At 39.0% G+C, this 19,273-nt stretch overlaps 1 pseudogene, besides 2 other annotated features; it reads right to left on the bottom strand.

The window, feature by feature from the left end:
• Positions 9,542-10,124: an enhancer, noted in NCBI's record as "H3K27ac-H3K4me1 hESC enhancer chrX:97685071-97685653 (GRCh37/hg19 assembly coordinates)". NCBI's record gives its function as "activates a minimal SCP1, AML or CMV promoter by ChIP-STARR-seq in primed H9 embryonic stem cells {active_cell/tissue: H9 hESC(primed)}" and the evidence as "EXISTENCE:reporter gene assay evidence [ECO:0000049][PMID:30033119]".
• Positions 10,125-10,709: an enhancer, noted in NCBI's record as "H3K27ac-H3K4me1 hESC enhancer chrX:97684486-97685070 (GRCh37/hg19 assembly coordinates)". NCBI's record gives its function as "activates a minimal SCP1, AML or CMV promoter by ChIP-STARR-seq in primed H9 embryonic stem cells {active_cell/tissue: H9 hESC(primed)}" and the evidence as "EXISTENCE:reporter gene assay evidence [ECO:0000049][PMID:30033119]".
• HMGB1P32 (high mobility group box 1 pseudogene 32) lies at positions 17,455-18,062 on the bottom strand (annotated as a pseudogene).

Here is a 19,273-nt window from a genome sequence, read left to right as displayed (position 1 = left end):
CTGTAATGGCCTGAGTTGGTTGGCCTCCAGTGAGGAGGTGGTACTTTCAAAGGAGCACCAGCTGCAGTAGTAGTAGGGGAAACTAAGGTTGCCCTAAGTTGGCCAGTGTAAGTATTGTGGGTTCTCAGGTGTTGGGTAGCACCATAAAGCACCCAGGAGTTTCTGTCTTTTGTGTTTGGCTACCGGGGTGGGTAGAGATAAACCTTCAGGTTGGGGCAGGGTTAGGCAGGTGTGGCATCAGACTCAACCTGGGCAGGGCTTGCCACAGCCACTGTGGAGGATGTAGGGGTAGTTCTCAGGCCAAAGGGGTTATGTTCCAGAGGGAGTTTTGGTGCCTATGCTGTGTCCTATAGTTTGCCAGGGACGTGGGAGATAGCCAGTAGCGAGAGTCTTCACCCAGCTCTCATGCAGTTGGCAAAACCAGTTTTGCTCCTGTAGGGTCCCACTCAGACCTTGCCCAGGCCATAGGCTTCCCTAATTGTGAGTCTTTAAACCCACATCAAGAGCTACTGCTTCTTGGAAAGGGATAGGAGTTAGAGATCTGAGTATCAGCTAAAATTAGAACATCCCCATTCTAAAAATTTTACCAGTAAAAGGTTATAATTAATAAGTAAATGGTGTATGGATATAGGAGGAAAATAAAAGAAAACAAATACATTAAGATTTCATATGTGGATGAAATTTGACAACAGGAGAAGGGGCAGATATTAACACATACATGTACACTTTTATGTCCATGATGCCACGCTAAGTACCACTGCCAAATTACAGATTATAAGCACAGCTGCCAAGTGCGTCAGTCAGCTTAGGTTAAGTTGTGTTATAATAGCAAATAACCACAAAAACTAACTGGCTTAAAACCATAAAGATTTATTTTTCACTCAAACTACAGTTCTATTTAAGGTCAGCTATAGCTATATTCCATGATACATTTGCTCTTGGACCCAGATTATTAGAGCAGCCTCTTCCTAGGACATTTCTGGTTTCACAGTAAGGAAAGGAGAGCATACAATAGCATATGCTATCTCATAAAGCTTCAGCTTGAAAGGCATTTATGCTTAATTGAACAAAGCAATTCACAAGAACAATTCTGATGTCAATGGAGAAAGGAAATCCTCCATAGAGTGTTCCTATAGGATAGAGTCAAAATATTTTCAACAAAAATACAGTTTACCATACCAGGGCTTTATTGTCTATAATCAAAGAAAGGATAGATGAATACAATCTACAATGGTACACGGATTATTGCCTACTCTTATGATACAGGAATCAGCAATTCAATTTTCTAATATGGTTAAAATCTGGGAATAAACTTAGGTACACTATAGAAAAAATATAACAAACAATTGGTAAGAAATTACTTCAGTAGAATTAGAGATAAGATGCAATGAATTGACATAGATCTCAAATGTCATATGCATTCGGGTATGAGTGGGAAATGACAGGTCAAGAATGATGTTAATATAATGTTAATAAAAGTTAAATCAACTATCTACATAGGAAAAAAAAAAATCTTCACAGGAACCAAAAATCAGGTGACCCCTCATGGTAGTACCTGGTTTTACCTTCATACCGCTGAAACAAGCACTGAGGAGACAGTAAAAACAATCTTGAATCACTGACACCACTCCTTCCCCACCCCCCACTCTCTGGCAAAAGTGGCATGATGTGGGTGGAGAGTGTCTCCGGGTGCTGGGGGAAGGAGAAGACAGCAATTGTGAGATATTGAACTCTGTGCTGTCCTGTGAGAGCATAAAGGAAAACCAGATCAAACTCAACTGACTTCCTCCCAGGGAGAGAATATTTAAAATAACCCTAGTCAGGGAGTAATTGCTGATTCCAGAGGTCCAAACTGTAGTGTGTAAACGACTCTTATCCTACATAGAAAGACTAAATGATGAACCAATCAAAAATAATAACTAAAACAACTTTTCAAGACATAGTCAGTACAATAAGATATAAATAGAAACAACAAAAAGTAAAAAAGAGAGGGGGATGAAGTTAAGGTGAAGGGTTTTGTATTAAATCTAAGACCTCAAACTATGAAACTGCTACCAAAACCAAAAACAACAACAACAACAACAAAACACTGGAGAAACTCTCCAGGACCTTGGTATGGGCAAAAATTTCATTTTATATATATATACACACACACACACACACACACACATATATATATACATATATACATATATATACACATATATATATACATATACACGCATATATATAAAATATTTGGAAACACCTAAACATTCCACAAAAATAATAATAGCCTACAAACACAGGTAACCAAAGCAAAAATAGACAAATGGGATCACCTCAAGTTAAAAGACTTCTGCACATCAAAGGAAACAATCAACAAAGACACAATGTACAAAATGGGAGACAATATTTGCAAACTACCCATCTGATGAGGGATTCATCACCAAAATATATAAGGAACTCAAACAACTCCTTAGGAAAAAGTCTAATAATCCAATTAAAAAATGGACAAAAGATTTTAATAGACATTTCACAAAAGAAAACATACAAATGGCAAACAGGCATAGGAAAATGTGCTTAACATCACTGATTATCATAGAAATGCAAATCAAAACTACAATGAGAAAGGAAAACTACAAAACTACAAAGGAAATCAGTATATCAAAGAGATATCTGCACTCCTATGTTTGTTGCAGCACTATTTACAATAGCTAAGATTTGGAAGCAACCTACTGTCCATCAGCAGATGAATGGATAAAGATAATGTGGCACATATACACAATGGAGTACTATTCACCCATAAAAATAATGAGATCCAGTCATTTGCAACAACATAGATGGAACTTGAGATCATTATGTTAAGTGAAATAGGTCAGGCACAGAGGGACAAACATCACATGTTCTCGCTTATTTGTGGAATGTAAAAATCAAAACTCGTGGACAAAGAGAGTAGAACGATGGTTACCAGAGGCTGGGAAGAGCAGTAGGGAGCTCTGGGGGAGGTGGGGATGTTTAATGGATACAAAAAAGTTAGTTAGTTAGAAAGAATGAAAAAGACCTACTATTTTATACCACAACGGCGTGACTATAGTCAATAATAACTTAATTGTACATTTAAAAATTACTAAAAAAGTATAATCGGATTGTTTGTAATGCAAAGGATAAATGCTTGAGGGGATGGTTACTCCATTCTCCATGATGTAATTATTTAGCACTGCATGCCTGTATCAAAACATCTCATGTACCCTATAAATACATATATCTACTATGTGCCTACAAAATTAATTTTTTAATTTAAGAAATAAAACACATTTATCAAAATAAAAATACAAACAAACAAAAAAGAATTAAGAAGGTATGACAGTCAAATGAGATGCCCAAAAAGTCAGCACGTTGCTCTGTAGGGGGAGAGAAAGAAAAACACAGGTTATGTGTGTGTCAGAGAGAGAAAGAGAGAATAGAGCATTTGGCAGTTCAATTAGTAAGGGAAACAAAAAACAACAAAGTCAAAAATCATAGGGAATGTCTAAGATTGGAGCTATAACAAATCATTGTTGTAGCCAATACCTTTGGAAATCTTGAATACCTTCATTATATGGAGGAGATGGAAAGGTTTCCCAGTTAAGATTTCTTGAGATGCAGCTTCATAACAGACCTGTGGAACAGAGCTGAGGTTGTAATCCCAGCACTTTGGGAGGCCGAGGTGGGCGGATCACGAGGTCGGGAGTTTGAGACGAGCCTGGCCAGCATGGTGAAGCCCCGTCTCTACTAAAAATACAAAAAATTAGCCGGGCATGGTGGCACGTGCCTGTAATCCCAGCTACTCAGGAGGCTGAGGCACGAGAATTGCTTGAACCCAACAGGCAGAGGTTGCAGTGAGCCGAGATCGTGCCACTGGACTCCAGCCCAGGTGACAGAGCGAGGCTCCATCTCAAAAAAATAAATAAATAAATAAAATAAAATAAAATAAAATTCTCATTGACTTAGTGCCTGCCTCTCCCATTTACATTTAATCATCTTCTCCCTTAAAATGTTATGTATTATTATTTATAAATGAAGTTAATTCAAATTTACTCTATGCTTCTAGAAACAGTAATTTTACACAGGTATGAGAAAACATATCTATTTATGACACCCTAAGAAACTTTAAGATAATCATTATCAAAGCTGTATGAAGTAAGACTGTGTTCTGCTTTCTCGCACCATTCATGATTATCATAGTGCTTCACTTACAGTAAGCAAGCCAACTGATGATTGTTGAGTGAATGGAAGAGTCATGGTTGTATTGCTGTTGTTTACTATTGTACAGTCATTTGAATGCCCAGTAAATCCAGCAGTTGTATCTCTTTGGGCCTTAGCCTTCTCATGTGATAAATGTAAGGTGGATTATTCAGGATCCTCTGCAAGACTGCTGAGAAACAGAAACACAGGTGTCAGATAGTTTGTAGTCATAAGATTTGATGGCTTATGTAGAAGTAAATTGGTGCAGTGATATTTTAAGATTCTATTAATATGTTTTTCAAATCTTAGTACTTATTATTTAAACAAACATCTGCAATAGAATTTTTGTATTATAGAATCATCCTAGATTTATATGATACTAAACACTCCAATGTAAACTGAAAATACTGGGAAACTATCTAGATATTGTCATGTACTCAGGAAATTGCTACCATATATATACATAAATTAGCTGTATGTTTTAACTGTTGAAAATCTGACCTCTAATTATGTGTCCTAAAACTGACAGGTGGAATATAAAAGAAGTTCTAGAACTTGGCAAAGCTTTTCAGTTTTCATGTAGGGCTTTGGCATAATAAAAGTTTAACTACAGAAAGCAAAAATGCCCGCTATAGATTCTTTAGAAGTTTATTTCTTCATGACTTTGCAAATATCATCTCCTGCATCCAAACAATGTATTTATTTCTTCATACTAGGCGAAATCAAAAAGACCAGAGCAATTCCATATTTTTAAGCGGCAATTTCACACATGTATAGTAAAGCATAACTATTTCTGACAGTTTTAGAAGTTTTGAAAGTATCATTATCAAACAAAGCTTTAAGAAACGAGAAAATGTTTTTAGCTTGTCCTTTGCTTCTGTATTTGTTGTTGTTTATCCAAATCACTGCAGTTAACTGAGGACAACATTTAACAAGGTCCCTAGCACATTTAAATATATGCTGTCGGAATATCAAACAACTTATATATACTCACAGAAAGTAACAACCAAAGGACAACAGGGGTGGTGGTGAAGGGTTGCAGTTAAAATTAGACTCTCCACTTACATTAAGATTGTTAATTTTACCACAACATAATTTCCTGGCTATCAAAAGATTAATTGACTTTCTTTTTACAAGATTACTTAAATTATGCATGGACCCATGAAAAATAGTAGTATTATATTTGGGAAATAATCATCTAATGTGAATAAATCTGATAAAATGTTTAATGTATATGAAGATGCCATTGCCTACTGAACTATCAAATCAGGGACAGGCAAATGCAATTCTTTCTTGGACCTTTTAAATCATTTAAATTCAACCTTTTTTGTCATTTGTTTCAATAGCTAGAATTTAATATGCACAGCTTATGATAGGTACTAATATACTTTAAATGTTTCAGGCATTGAGTATACTGTATCACAAAGCCATTTTCTTCAAATTAATAATACAAAGCTTTCAACTTTGTTTAATTTGGCATGTAGACAAAAATACTGAGGGAGAGCATAAGGCACTCTAACTACAATCCTCTCTCCACCCTTCAGACCAGCCAAACCTATAAACCATTTTGAGGCTCTTAGAGCTAATTGCTAAGCAGCATAGATGCCACTTAATTAGAGAAAACTAGGAGGAAACAGTAATCTAGAAACCACAATTTGATTGGAAGTAGGAACATCATTAATGGACACAATTCCCTTTCTGCACATTAAGTCACGGTAAAGCAAAAGGAAGGAAAGTGCTTCCGGAAAAGTAATCTCTGTGATTCCTTTGAGAAAGAAAGCCAATGCAACATGAGTTTTATAAAGTTTAGCAGCATTTTACTGCCCTCCATTTAGAGTAGTACGTTAGTTGCAGAATCATGATTTTCTCCTGGCTATCCTTTATGTTGCATATGAAGAAGTCTCCTGTGTGTCTGCTTGGGCTGTTTTTTTAGTGTGTTGTTGTTTTTTTTTTTTTTTAAATGCTGTTTAGTGGTAAAAAACAAGCAATTTTGTTTGCCTAGAGGACTGACTTTGTACCCCCATATCAGCTCTGGTTCTTCACTTTTTCCCTGCAGTATCTCCTGACAAGGTACTTGAAAGAAACACCCAAATACCCTAAGTACAAGATTGCCTGTCTTGTCTATCCAGAAGTATGTGGTTTTTCAAGACAAACTATAACATAATAACATTGTCACATTTAAATTTCAGGTTGTGGGACCTCGTGGTAAAAGCATATCAAATCTGGGCATTATACACGATGCTGTTAGTATGTAAGATGCTGTCTTGCATCTATCAGGGAAGCAGTGCACAGGCTGATGAGACTTGGAGTGAATAAACAAATGATAGTTGGTCATGGAGGGTGAAGGTGTGTGTGTGCAGAATCAGCACAATCCATGAATAGAGCTTGGCTGTAGTCGACTGATGTCTGTACCAGTGTTTCAATGTGTGTTGGTCAAAAACACTGTCAAGACTGATCCTCTAGGGACACATCCTTTCAAACTGGTGTTTGCCAATAAATGTGCAGCTGTCAAGTTCTACAATTTATTATGAGTTTTGATAGCACACAAAAAAATATTTACAGATTAAAAAAAACCTTGTGTAAGCAGGGGTACAGGCAGGGAAACATGGGTAAAGTGAACATCTTTATCCCTGTTGCTACCTTATTTGATTATAAATACATCCTCAGAAAAATAGAAAAGCTCGTTTCCACATCTTCAAAATGGCACCCACTAATAAAGCAACTATATTAGAGATCAGACAGCAGGACAGGAATTGGGGCAAAGGCTAAAGATGAGGGACAGAAAATTGACACCATCAAAAGAGGAAAGAAATAAAATAGGAAAGGCTAAATAGAAACCTTGTTTTTGTTTGCCTTGGAAAACCATGTGAGGCAGTAATGAGGATGCAATTCCCTATAGGCAGGTACAAGGCTGGGACCAACTAGAAAGTATGTCTGGAATGAGAAGAAAGGCAACATGAGAGTTGCTATTGTTCAGCTACTTCTTCAGAGAAGCCCAACCAGGTATGTCTCAGAGGGATCCACACAATAGCTACCTGCAAGCTAGCTAGGAGCTGCAAACCTACACTGGTCTTTTTGATCATTGCTCTTAAAAAGGAAAAGGAATATTCCTGGTGGTAAGTTTAACCTCCGATTCCACAGCTTGGGGGATTCTAATGGGGGGCTGAGTTATAGTGACAGTAATTTCTAACTCTGATCTCAATAAAAATGCCCAGAATCCAATCCCCTCAAGTCCTTCCCTTACCACCCTAGCAAGGTAGCTGGGTAGCTTGGTGTCTTATGCCTTTTCCAGGATTGGCACTATAATTGTCCTGAGCAGCTGCTAGCATTCATTTATCTCCTCCATCCCAATGCAGTCTCTGCTCCAATGATGTCAGCTGACCTTGATATAATCTGGTCATTTGTCACCACTTCATTGTCATGACTCCGCCTATCATCAGATGGCCCTTGTTATTACTAATTAGGGTCACCATATATTCTGGTTAGCCCAAGACAAGCTCAGATTAATTCTGTTGGCCCAGCATAATTACTTATAGTGCTCATTTTCACTCTCAAAAGTGCTGCCTCTTACTGGAAAAGGACTCTCTTCCATCAGTTTGTAATTCTTGTTTAATGAAGCTCCCAAATAGAATATTCTAACTCAGTTTCCTACAATCCTCGTACTTTTAGAATTCTTTTGTTTTTCTCATTCTCAGATTCTTCCAACCCATGATGTAGCACAAAAAGCATGCATTTGGGAACCCAATAGATTTGTGTTCAAATCTCAGCTCTGGTATTCTCTAGCTGAATAAAGTAAGGCAAAATCTCAGTTTTCTCATCATAAAAGTAGAATAATAATATGACCTAGCTTATATGATTGTTTTGAGGATGAGTCAAACATAACATAAAAATAAAATCTAGGATGGTATCTAATGTATTATAGGAAATGAATTAGTTCCCCTTTTCACTCCCTACCTTTACAGCTGGTGATATAAGATAGATTCTCCGAGGCTTCACATAGAAAACATTTCACCTGATCACATTTAATGACTTACTCAGATTCTCTGTTCTTACTGACAATTTCTCCTACCTGATAGTGAATAAATTATGTACCTACTGAATTATTCCCTGAGTGGTTAGAAGTGACCCCTACCTCTCTGTCTCTGATTGCACTTCAACTCTTTGGTCCTAGATAGAATCACAAATTTCAATGCACCCCATTACTGTCTGCCTAGGAGATCAACAGAAACCTTAAACAACAACAACAGGCCGGGCGCGGTGGCTCATGCCTGTAATCCTAGCACTTTGGGAGGCCGAGGAGGGCAGATCACGAGGTCAAGAGATCAAGACTATCCTGGCTAACACGGTGAAACCCCGTCTCTACTAAAAATACAAAAAAATTAGCCAGGCGTGGTGGCAGGCACCTGTAGTCCCAGCTACTCGGGAGGCTGAGGCAGGAGAATGGTGTGAACCTGGGAGGCGGAGTTTGCAGTGAGCTGAGATCGCGCCACTGCACTCCAGCCTGGGCGACAGAGCAAGACTCCATCTCAAAAAAAAAAAAAAAAAAAAAACTACCAAAAAAACTTTTGGGAGTCAGCTGCTTCAGTTATAAATATTTTAGACATTGCTGTCCATAAAGTCTCTGTCACAACTACTCAACACTGCTACTGTAGCACAAAAACAGAAACAGATGATGCATAAATGAATGAGTAGCTGTGTTTTTATAAAACTGTACTTATGGACACTGAAATTTAAATTTCACATAATATTCATGTGTCATAAAATAATATTTGTCTTTTGTTTTTCTTGTTTATTTCAATCATTTAAAAATGAATACAACTATTCTTAGCTCATGGGCCATACAAACACAGTCAGTGAGCTGGATTTTGCCCATGGGTTGCAGTTTGGTTATAAATGTCAGGAAACCAAGCTGAAACAAACTTAATTAAAAAGGAATGTATTGGTCTCCCTAATCAATATGTTTCAGGTACAGCTTGATCCAGCGGTTCCAAATAATGTCACCAGACTCTGTCTTACAGTTTCTCAATCCTTTATGTTGACTTCATTCTCATGTTCCGATTGTATGGTGTGTGGGTGTCCATATTTCCAGGACTTTTGCTTCCATGTTCAAACCCAGCAGGAAAGAGAGTGAATATTCCTCTTTCTAAAAGGACTAACATAAAGAATTGGGTCTGATTATCAGTCCTTTGTACTGGGGCGTATGCCCATCCCTAATCCAATCACTGTGGCCAGAGGCATGGGATGTCTTCATTGCCTTAGGCCAATAAGATAACCCTATCCCGGAGGACTGGTGAGATCAGTTCCAATTAAACTATATAGATCAATGATTCCCCAAGGGTATTGTAAGGTACTGTTACCATAAAATAAATGAGTGGGAGGTGAGACAAAATGTAACACATGTGTACTGTACCGTGTGCCATGGAACATGCCTGACTTTTAAGGGTAATCAAATTTGGCCTTCCCTCATTTCCTGAATAAAATTAATATAAATATTTGGAAAATAAAATTAGTTCAGTGGCATTAGGTTGAATGCTCAGAGGTCATTGTATATATGTATGTAGGTAGGTATACGTTGAATAAATAAGCCTTAGTTTTTACCTATAATATGAAAAGGTTAAAATTAGACTATGGTAGGGGGAGGAGCCAAGATGGCCAAATAGGAACAGCTCTGGTCTACAGCCCCCAGCGTGAGCGATGCAGAAGAGGGGTGATTTCTGCATTTCCATCTGAGGTGCCGGGTTCATCTCACTAGGGAGTGCCAGACAGTGGGCGCAGGTCAGTGGGTGCACGCACCGTGCGCGAGCCGAAGCAGGGCGAGGCATTGCCTCACTTGGGAAGTGCAAGGGTTCAGGGAGTTCCCTTTCCGAGTCAAAGAAAGGGGTGACGGACGCACCTGGAAAATCGGGTCACTCCCACACGAATATTGCGCTTTTCGAACAGGCTTAAAAAACGGCGCACCACGAGATTATATCCTGCACCTGGCTTGGAGGGTCCTACGCCCACGGAGTCTCGATGATTGCTAGCACAGCAGTCTGAGATCAAACTGCAAGGCGGCAGCGAGGCTGGGGGAGGGGCGCCCACCATTGCCCAGGCTTGCTTAGGTAAACAAAGCAGCCAGGAAGCTCGAACTGGGTGGAGCCCACCACAGCTCAAGGAGGCCTGCCTGCCTCTGTAGGCTCCACCTCTGGGGGCAGGGCACAGACAAACAAAAAGACAGCAGTAACCTCTGCAGACTTAAATGTCCCTGTTTGACAGCTTTGAAGAGAGCAGTGGTTCTCCCAGCACGCAGCTGGAGATCTGAGAACGGGCAGACTGCCTCCTCAAGTGGGTCCCTGACCCCTGACCCCCGAGCAGCCAAACTGGGAGGCACCCCGCAGCAGGGGCACACTGACACCTCACACGGCAGGGTATTCCAACAGACCTGCAGCTGAGGGTCCTGTCTGTTAGAAGGAAAACTAACAAACAGAAAGGACATCCACACCAAAAACCCATTTGTACATCACCATCATCAAAGACCAAAAGTAGATAAAACCACAAAGATGGGGAAAAAACAGAACAGAAAAACTGGAAACTCTAAAACGCAGAGCGCCTCTCCTCCTCCAAAGGAACACAGCTCCTCACCGGCAACGGAACAAAGCTAGATGGAGAATGACTTTGACGAGCTGAGAGAAGAAGACTTCAGACAATCAAATTACTCCGATCTACAGGAGGACATTCAAACCAAAGGCAAAGAAGTTGAAAACTTTGAAAAAAATTTAGAAGAATGTATAACTAGAATAACCAATACAGAGAAGTGCTTAAAGGAGCTGATGGAGCTGAAAACCAAGGCTCGAGAACTACGTGAAGAATGCAGAAGCCTCAGGAGCCGATGGAATCAACTGGAAGAAAGGGTATCAGCAATGGAAGATGAAATGAATGAAATGAAGCGAGAAGGGAAGTTTAGAGAAAAAAGAATAAAAAGAAATGAGCAAAGCCTCCAAGAAATATGGGAGTATGTGAAAAGACCAAATCTACGTCTGATTGGTGTACCTGAAAGTGACAGGGAGAATGGAACCAAGTTGGAAAACACTCTGCAGGATATTATCCAGGAGAACTTCCCCAATCTAGCAAGGCAGGCCAACGTTCAGATTCAGGAAATACAGAGAATGCCACAAAGATACTCCTTGAGAAGAGCAACTCCAACACATATAATTGTCAGATTCACCAAACTTGAAATGAAGGAAAAAATGTTAAGGGCAGCCAGAGAGAAAGGTCGGGTTACCCTCAAAGGGAAGCCCATCAGACTAACAGCGGATCTCTCGGCAGAAACCCTACAAGCCAGAAGAGAGTGGGGGCCAATATTCAACATTCTTAAAGAAAAGAATTCTCAACCCAGAATTTCATATCCAGCCAAACTAAGCTTCATAAGTGAAGGAGAAATAAAATACTTTACAGACGAGCAAATGCTGAGAGATTTTGTCACCACCAGGCCTGCCCTAAAAGAGCTCCTGAAGGAAGCACTAAACATGGAAAGGAACAACCGGTACCAGCCGCTGCAAAATCATGCCAAAATGTAAAGACCATCGAGACTAGGAAGAAACTGCATCAACTAACGAGCAAAATCACCAGCTAACATCATAATGACAGGATCAAATTCACACATAACACTATTAACTTTAAATGTAAATGGACTAAATGCTCCAATTAAAAGACACAGACTGGCAAATTAGATAAAGAGTCAAGACCCATCAGTGTGCTGTATTCAGGAAACCCATCTCACGTGTAGAGACACACATAGGCTCAAAATAAAAGGATGGAGGAAGATCTACCAAGCAAATGGAAAACAAAAAAAGGCAGGGGTTGCAATCCTAGTCTCTGATAAAACAGACTTTAAACCAACAAAGATCAAAAGAGACAAAGAAGGCCATTACATAATGGTAAAGGGATCAATTCAACAAGAAGAGCTAACTATCCTAAATATATATGCACCCAATACAGGAGCACCCAGATTCATAAAGCAAGTCCTGAGTGACCTACAAAGAGACTTAGACTCCCACACATTAATAATGGGAGACTTTAACACTCCACTGTCAACATTAGACAGATCAACGAGACAGAAAGTCAACAAGGATACCCAGGAATTGAACTCAGCTCTGCACCAAGCGAACCTAATAGACATCTACAGGATTCTCCACCCCAAATCAACAGAATATACATTTTTTTCAGCACCACACCACACCTATTCCAAAATTGACCACATACTTGGAAGTAAAGCTCTCCTCAGCAAATGTAAAAGAACAGATATTATAACAAACTATCTCTCAGACCACAGTGCTATCAAACTAGAACTCAGGATTAAGAATCTTACTCAAAACCGCTCAACTACATGGAAACTGAACAACCTGCTCCTGAATGACTACTGGATACATAACGAAATGAAGGCAGAAATAAAGATGTTCTTTGAAACCAACGAGAAAAAAGACACAACATACCAGAATCTCTGGGACGCATTCAAAGCAGTGTGTAGAGGGAAATTTATAGCACTAAATGCCCACAAGACAAAGCAGGAAAGATCCAAAACTGACACCCTAACATCGCAATTAAAAGAACTAGAAAAGCAAGAGCAAACACATTCAAAAGCTAGCAGAAGGCAAGAAATAACTAAAATCAGAGCAGAACTGAAGGAAATAGAGACACAAAAAAACCTTCAAAAAATTAATGAATCCAGGAGCTGGTTTTTTGAAAGGATCAACAAAATTGATAGACCTCTAGTAAGACTAATAAAGAAAAAAAGAGAGAAGAATCAAATAGACACAATAAAAAATGATAAAGGGGATATCACCACCGATCCCACAGAAATACAAACTACCATCAGAGAATACTACAAACACCTCTATGCAAATAAACTAGAAAATCTAGAAGAAATGGATAAATTCCTCGATTCATACACTCTCCCAAGACTAAACCAGGAAGAAGTTGAATCTCTGAGTAGACCAATAACGGGAGCTGAAATTGTGGCAATAATCAATAGTTTACCAACCAAAAAGAGTCCAGGACCAGATGGATTCAGAGCCGAATTCTACCAGAGGTACAAGGAGGAACTGGTACCATTCCTTCTGAAACTATTCCAATCAATAGAAAAAGAGGGAATCCTCCCTAACTCATTTTATGAGGCCAGCATCATTCTGATACCAAAGCTGGGCAGAGACACAACCAAAAAAGAGAATTTTAGACCAATATCCTTGATGAACATTGATGCAAAAATCCTCAGTAAAATACTGGCAAAACGAATCCAGCAGCACATCAAAACGCTTATCCACCATGATCAAGTGGGCTTCATCCCTGGGATGCAAGGCTGGTTCAACATACGCAAATCAATAAATGTAATCCAGCATATAAACAGAGCCAAAGACAAAAACCACATGATTATCTCAATAGATGCAGAAAAAGCCTTTGACAAAATTCAACAACCCTTCATGCTAAAAACTCTCAATAAATTAGGTATTGATGGGACGTATTTCAAAATAATAAGAGCTATCTATGACAAACCCACAGCCAATATCATACTGAATGGGCAAAAACTGGAAGCATTCCCTTTGAAAACTGGCACAAGACAGGGATGCCCTCTCTCACCACTCCTATTCAACATAGTGTTGGAAGTTCTGGCCAGGGCAATTAGGGAGGGGAAGGAAATAAAGGGTATTCAATTAGGAAAAGAGGAAGTCAAATTGTCCCTGTTTGCAGACGACATGATTGTACAGCTAGGAAACCCCATTGTCTCAGCCCAAAATCTCCTTAAGCTGATAAGCAACTTCAGCAAAGTCTCAGGATACAAAATCAATGTACAAAAATCACAAGCATTCTTATACACCAACAACAGACAAACAGAGAGCCAAATCATGAGTGAACTCCCATTCACAATTGCTTCAAAGAGAATAAAATACCTAGGAATCCAACTTACAAGGGATGTGAAGGACCTCTTCAAGGAGAACTACAAACCACTGCTCAAGGAAATAAAAGAGGATACAAACAAATGGAAGAACATTCCATGCTCATGGGTAGGAAGAATCAATATCATGAAAATGGCCATACTGCCCAAGGTAATTTATAGATTCAATGCCATCCCCATCAAGCTACCAATGACTTTCTTCACAGAATTGGAAAAAACTACTTTAAAGTTCATATGGAACCAAAAAAGAGCCCGCATCGCCAAGGCAATCCTAAGCCAAAAGAACAAAGATGGAGGCCTCACACTACCTGACTTCAAACTATACTACAAGGCTACAGTAACCAAAACAGCATGGTACTGGTACCAAAACAGAGATATAGATCAATGGAACAGAACAGAGCCCTCAGAAATAACGCCGCATATCTACAACTATCTGATCTTTGACAAACCTGAGAAAAACAAGCAATGGGGAAAGGATTCCCTATTTAATAAATGGTGCTGGGAAAACTGGCTAGCCATATGTAGAAAGCTGAAACTGGATCCCTTCCTTACACCTTATACAAAAATCAATTCAAGATGGATTAAAGACTTAAACGTTAGACCTAAAACCATAAAAACCCTAGAAGAAAACCTAGGCATTACCATTCAGGACATAGGCATGGGCAAGGACTTCATGTCCAAAACACCAAAAGCAATGGCAACAAAAGCCAAAATTGACAAATGGGATCTAATTAAACTAAAGAGCTTCTGCACGGCAAAAGAAACTACCATCAGAGTGAACAGGCAACCTACAAAATGGGAGAAAATTTTCACAACCTACTCATCTGACAAAGGGCTAATATCCAGAATCTACAATGAACTCAAACAAATTTACAAGAAAAAAACAAACAACCCCATCAAAAAGTGGGCAAAGGACATGAACAGACACTTCTCAAAAGAAGACATTTATGCAGCCAACAGACCCATGAAAAAATGCTCATCATCACTGGCCATCAGAGAAATGCAAATCAAAACCACAATGAGATACCATCTCACACCAGTTAGAATGGCGATCATTAAAAAGTCAGGAAACAACAGGTGCTGGAGAGGATGTGGAGAAATAGGAACACTTTTACACTGTTGGTGGGACTGTAAACTAGTTCAACCATTGTGGAAGTCAGTGTGGCGATTCCTCAGGGATCTAGAAGTAGAAATACCATTTGACCCAGCCATCCCATTACTGGGTATATACCCAAAGGACTATAAATCATGCTGCTATAAAGACACATGCACACGTATGTTTATTGCGGCATTATTCACAATAGCAAAGACTTGGAACCAACCCAAATGTCCAACAATGATAGACTGGATTAAGAAAATGTGGCACATATACACCATGGAATACTACGCAGCCATAAAAAATGATGAGTTCATGTCCTTTGTAGGGACATGGATGAAATTGGAAATCATCATTCTCAGTAAACTATCGCAAGAACAAAAAACCAAACACCGCATATTCTCACTCATAGGTGGGAATTGAACAATGAGATCACATGGACACAGGAAGGGGAATATCACACTCTGGGGACTGTTGTGGGGTGGGGGGAGGGGGGAGGGATAGCATTGGGAGATATACCTAATGCTAGATGACGAGTTAGTGGGTGCAGCACACCAGCATGGCACATGTATACATATGTAACTAACCTGCACAATGTGCACATGTACCCTAAAACTTAATGTATAATAAAAAAAAAAGAAGAAAAAAAAATTAGACTATGGTAATTTTTCTTAAAAGATCAGATGAAAACTAAGTTGGGCTTTGCAGACCACATGTATAGGTATATATCCCATACATATATCCACCCCCCTTCCCCAACACACACACTTTTACAACCCTTTTAAAATATAAAAATCACTCTTAGGGCTGTATAAGAAATAGCCAGATTTGGCCTGCAGGTCATAATTTGTGTACCCTTGGGCTAGATGGTCACTAGGACCCCTTCCAGCTATGTTAGGTTTCTGTTTTAGCACGTGTAGCTCCTACTCCCTCTGTTCAAGAAGGACTCATTCTTTCACAGAAGTGCTCAAATGCCACTGTCACTATTATTCCCTGTCCCGAGAAGCATGGCAAAAATATATAAATGGTACCATGCTCACCTGTATCCTTTTTGGCCATTGAATACCTGGGTGTCTGTAGTTTAACTGTTCCCACAAAATACAGCTAACCCTTGAACAACATGGGGGTTAGAGATGCTGACCTCCCACACAGTTGAATATTTGTGTATAACTTTTGACACTGCAAAAACGTAACTACTAATAGCTTAGTCTACCAGAAGCCTTGTCGATAACATAAACAGTTTATTGATACATAGTTTGTATGTTATGTGTATCATAAACTGCATTCTTACAAAAATAGTTTTTTGTAATAATACAGTTTTTTACAAAATATAGTACTGTATTTTTATAAAATACAGTAAAAACTGTAATTTTTACAAAAATAGTTTTTATATGTATCATAAACTTCTTATAAAAATAAAATAAGCTAGAAAAGAAAATGTTATTAAGAAAATCATAAGGAAGGTATATTAGTCCATTCTCATACTGTTAAAAATAAATACCTGAAACTGGGTAATTTATTAAAAAAAAAAAAGAGGTTTAACTGGCTCACAGTTCTGCAGGCTGTACAGGAAGCATGGCTGGGGAAGCCTCAGAAAACTTTCAATCATGGTGGAAGGTGAAAGGGAAGCAGGCATGTCTTACATGGCCCCAGAAGGAGGAAGAGAGAGAGAGGGGAGGTGCCACACTCTTTTAAACAACTGAATCTCATGATAACTCCCTCACTATAAAGAGAACAGCACCAAGGGGGAAATCCGCCCCCATGATTCAATCACCTCCCACCAGGTCCCTCCCTCGACACTTGGGGATTACATTTCGAGATGATTTGGGTGGGGACATAAAGCCAAACCATTTCATCATATATAACTAATTTGTGGTGTATATCAACAAGAACATGCTTTAAATTTCCTTGCCAATTTACAGCCCCTATACTATACCAGGAAAGGTTGGTGGCTATTGAAAATACCACCAGGACAGGGCTATCTAAAGACACATTTGGCAGTGTGTTAACTATACACAAAAGACACTGTACAGTTTAAAAACAAATCCTAGACAGCTGGAAATTTCCATTTTTTCTTTACAAGGAGTAAATTATGTTCAGGGAGGTAAAATGCTTTATAGAGAAGAAAAAATCTGCCTGAACCAACTTATTGATTATCATCTTCATCTTCTTTATCATCCTCCTCTTCCTTGTTTTTCTTGCTTTTTTTCAGCCTTGATGACTCCCTTTTTTGCTGAATCAGGCTTTTCTTTAGCATTTTTCCTTTAGTATTTTTTCTTCAGCTTCATGGCCTTCTTTTCATAAGGGAGCTTGTCATCTGCAGCAGTGTCATTCCACACCTCTTCCAGTTTTGTTGCAACATCACCAACAGATAGGCTGGGGTGTTCTCTTTTGATTTTGTGCAAATATTCAGAAGAGAACAAGAAAAAGGCTGAAGGATGCTTCTTGAGTACATTGGGATCCTTGTGCTTCTTTTTGGTTCCCCTTTAGGATGAATATATGTTTTTACTTCTCTTTCATAAAGGGCCTTGTCTGTCTTTTCTGTCATCAAATTTTCCTTTCTCTTTCACAGACATGGTCTTCCACTTCTCAGAGCACTTCTTTGGAAACTCGGAGAAGTTGCAGTGGACCGAGAGCACGCCATTGCACTCCAGCCTCGGTGACAGAGTGATATCCGTCTCTCAAAAAACAGAAGGCAAAAAAAAAAAAAAGAAAACTGAAAAGTTGACTGAACTATCTGGGTACTCCTTCTCGTGCTCCTCCCAACAAGTCTGCAAAGAATGCATATGATGACAGTGTGCCTCTCAGCTTCTTAGGAACTCCTTTGCCCACATTTAGTTATTTTTGCTCAGCAAGACACAGAGTCACCCATTGCCCATCTAGCTCTCTCTTGCTTGCCTCACTGCTATCTCTATGGAGCTCAATGTACTGCAATGGCTGTCTATACTCTCTTCTTGTGGTTTTCTGGAAAACAAGAAGAAACTTCTGCCAGGCCAGAGGCATGAGGTAGCAGCTAAGAATTACCTTTCTAAAACACAAGTATGATATCACTTCACTAACAACCTTCGCTGACTGCCACCACCTACAGAGCAAAGGCTGTATTTCTTAGAACTATCACTACCTAACTCTACCTAGCTTTTTAGCCTTACCTCTCATGACTGCCCTCAAATGCCTTATTCACTACCTACTCCAGTCTACTTACATTGTCCATACTTGTCACACATTGGATGCTTTATACATTTGCATAGGGGTTGACTACTCACTTTGCCTATAATAGCATTTTTTTAAATCTGTCTCTTGAAATCTTACTCTTCATAGGCCACATCCTTTTTGAAACCTTCACTTTCCCACCTCTGGAAAGAATTTAATCCCTCTTGTACTCCATTATGATCATATTCCTAGTTAGTTAAACAGCAGAATCAAACCTCACTTGAGAGTAAGGTTCTAAAGATATAAGAAGAAAATAAAAAACTCATATAGTTTCAAATTAATTTTGAAAAGAAATGTCTCAGGAAGTTTATCCCTTAGGTTGAACAGTAGATAAAGTAATTAACTTGCATGTAGGAACCAGATTGTACAAAAAATATAAACCTTAAACCCAAGAATCACACTCAGCACAGAGGGTTGTTCACCCTGTAACAGTTAAGTGGGGACTGTGACTATGGAATTTCAGTTTCCTATCCTCCATTATCATGCTAATCATAGGGCATTGCACACTAAATAGTGGAAAGGCTACATTTTCTGTCTCTCTCTTTCTCTCCCCCTCCCCCACTGCTTATCTAGTTAAATATGAGTATTTTAAATATTGTGTACTCTGTAGTTCTCCTTTCTCCTTTCAGTTTGAGATTATAAGATTTTTGTGGGCAGGAATTATGTCTTCTTCTCTTTGGATTCTCAATACATTTCCACCATAACAGCTCATAGGTGCTTATAGATGCAGCATCATAGGTGCTCACAAAATGGGAAATTGGATTGAATTTCATATTCCTTGAGTGGTTTCCATGTCTTCTTATTTCCTTTCATGCTGAACAAATTAATTTAAA

Source organism: Homo sapiens, chromosome X, assembly GCF_000001405.40.
Source record: "Homo sapiens chromosome X, GRCh38.p14 Primary Assembly".
In the NCBI taxonomy this organism is placed as follows: domain Eukaryota; kingdom Metazoa; phylum Chordata; class Mammalia; order Primates; family Hominidae; genus Homo; species Homo sapiens.
This window is presented reverse-complemented; position numbering and strand designations above follow the sequence as displayed.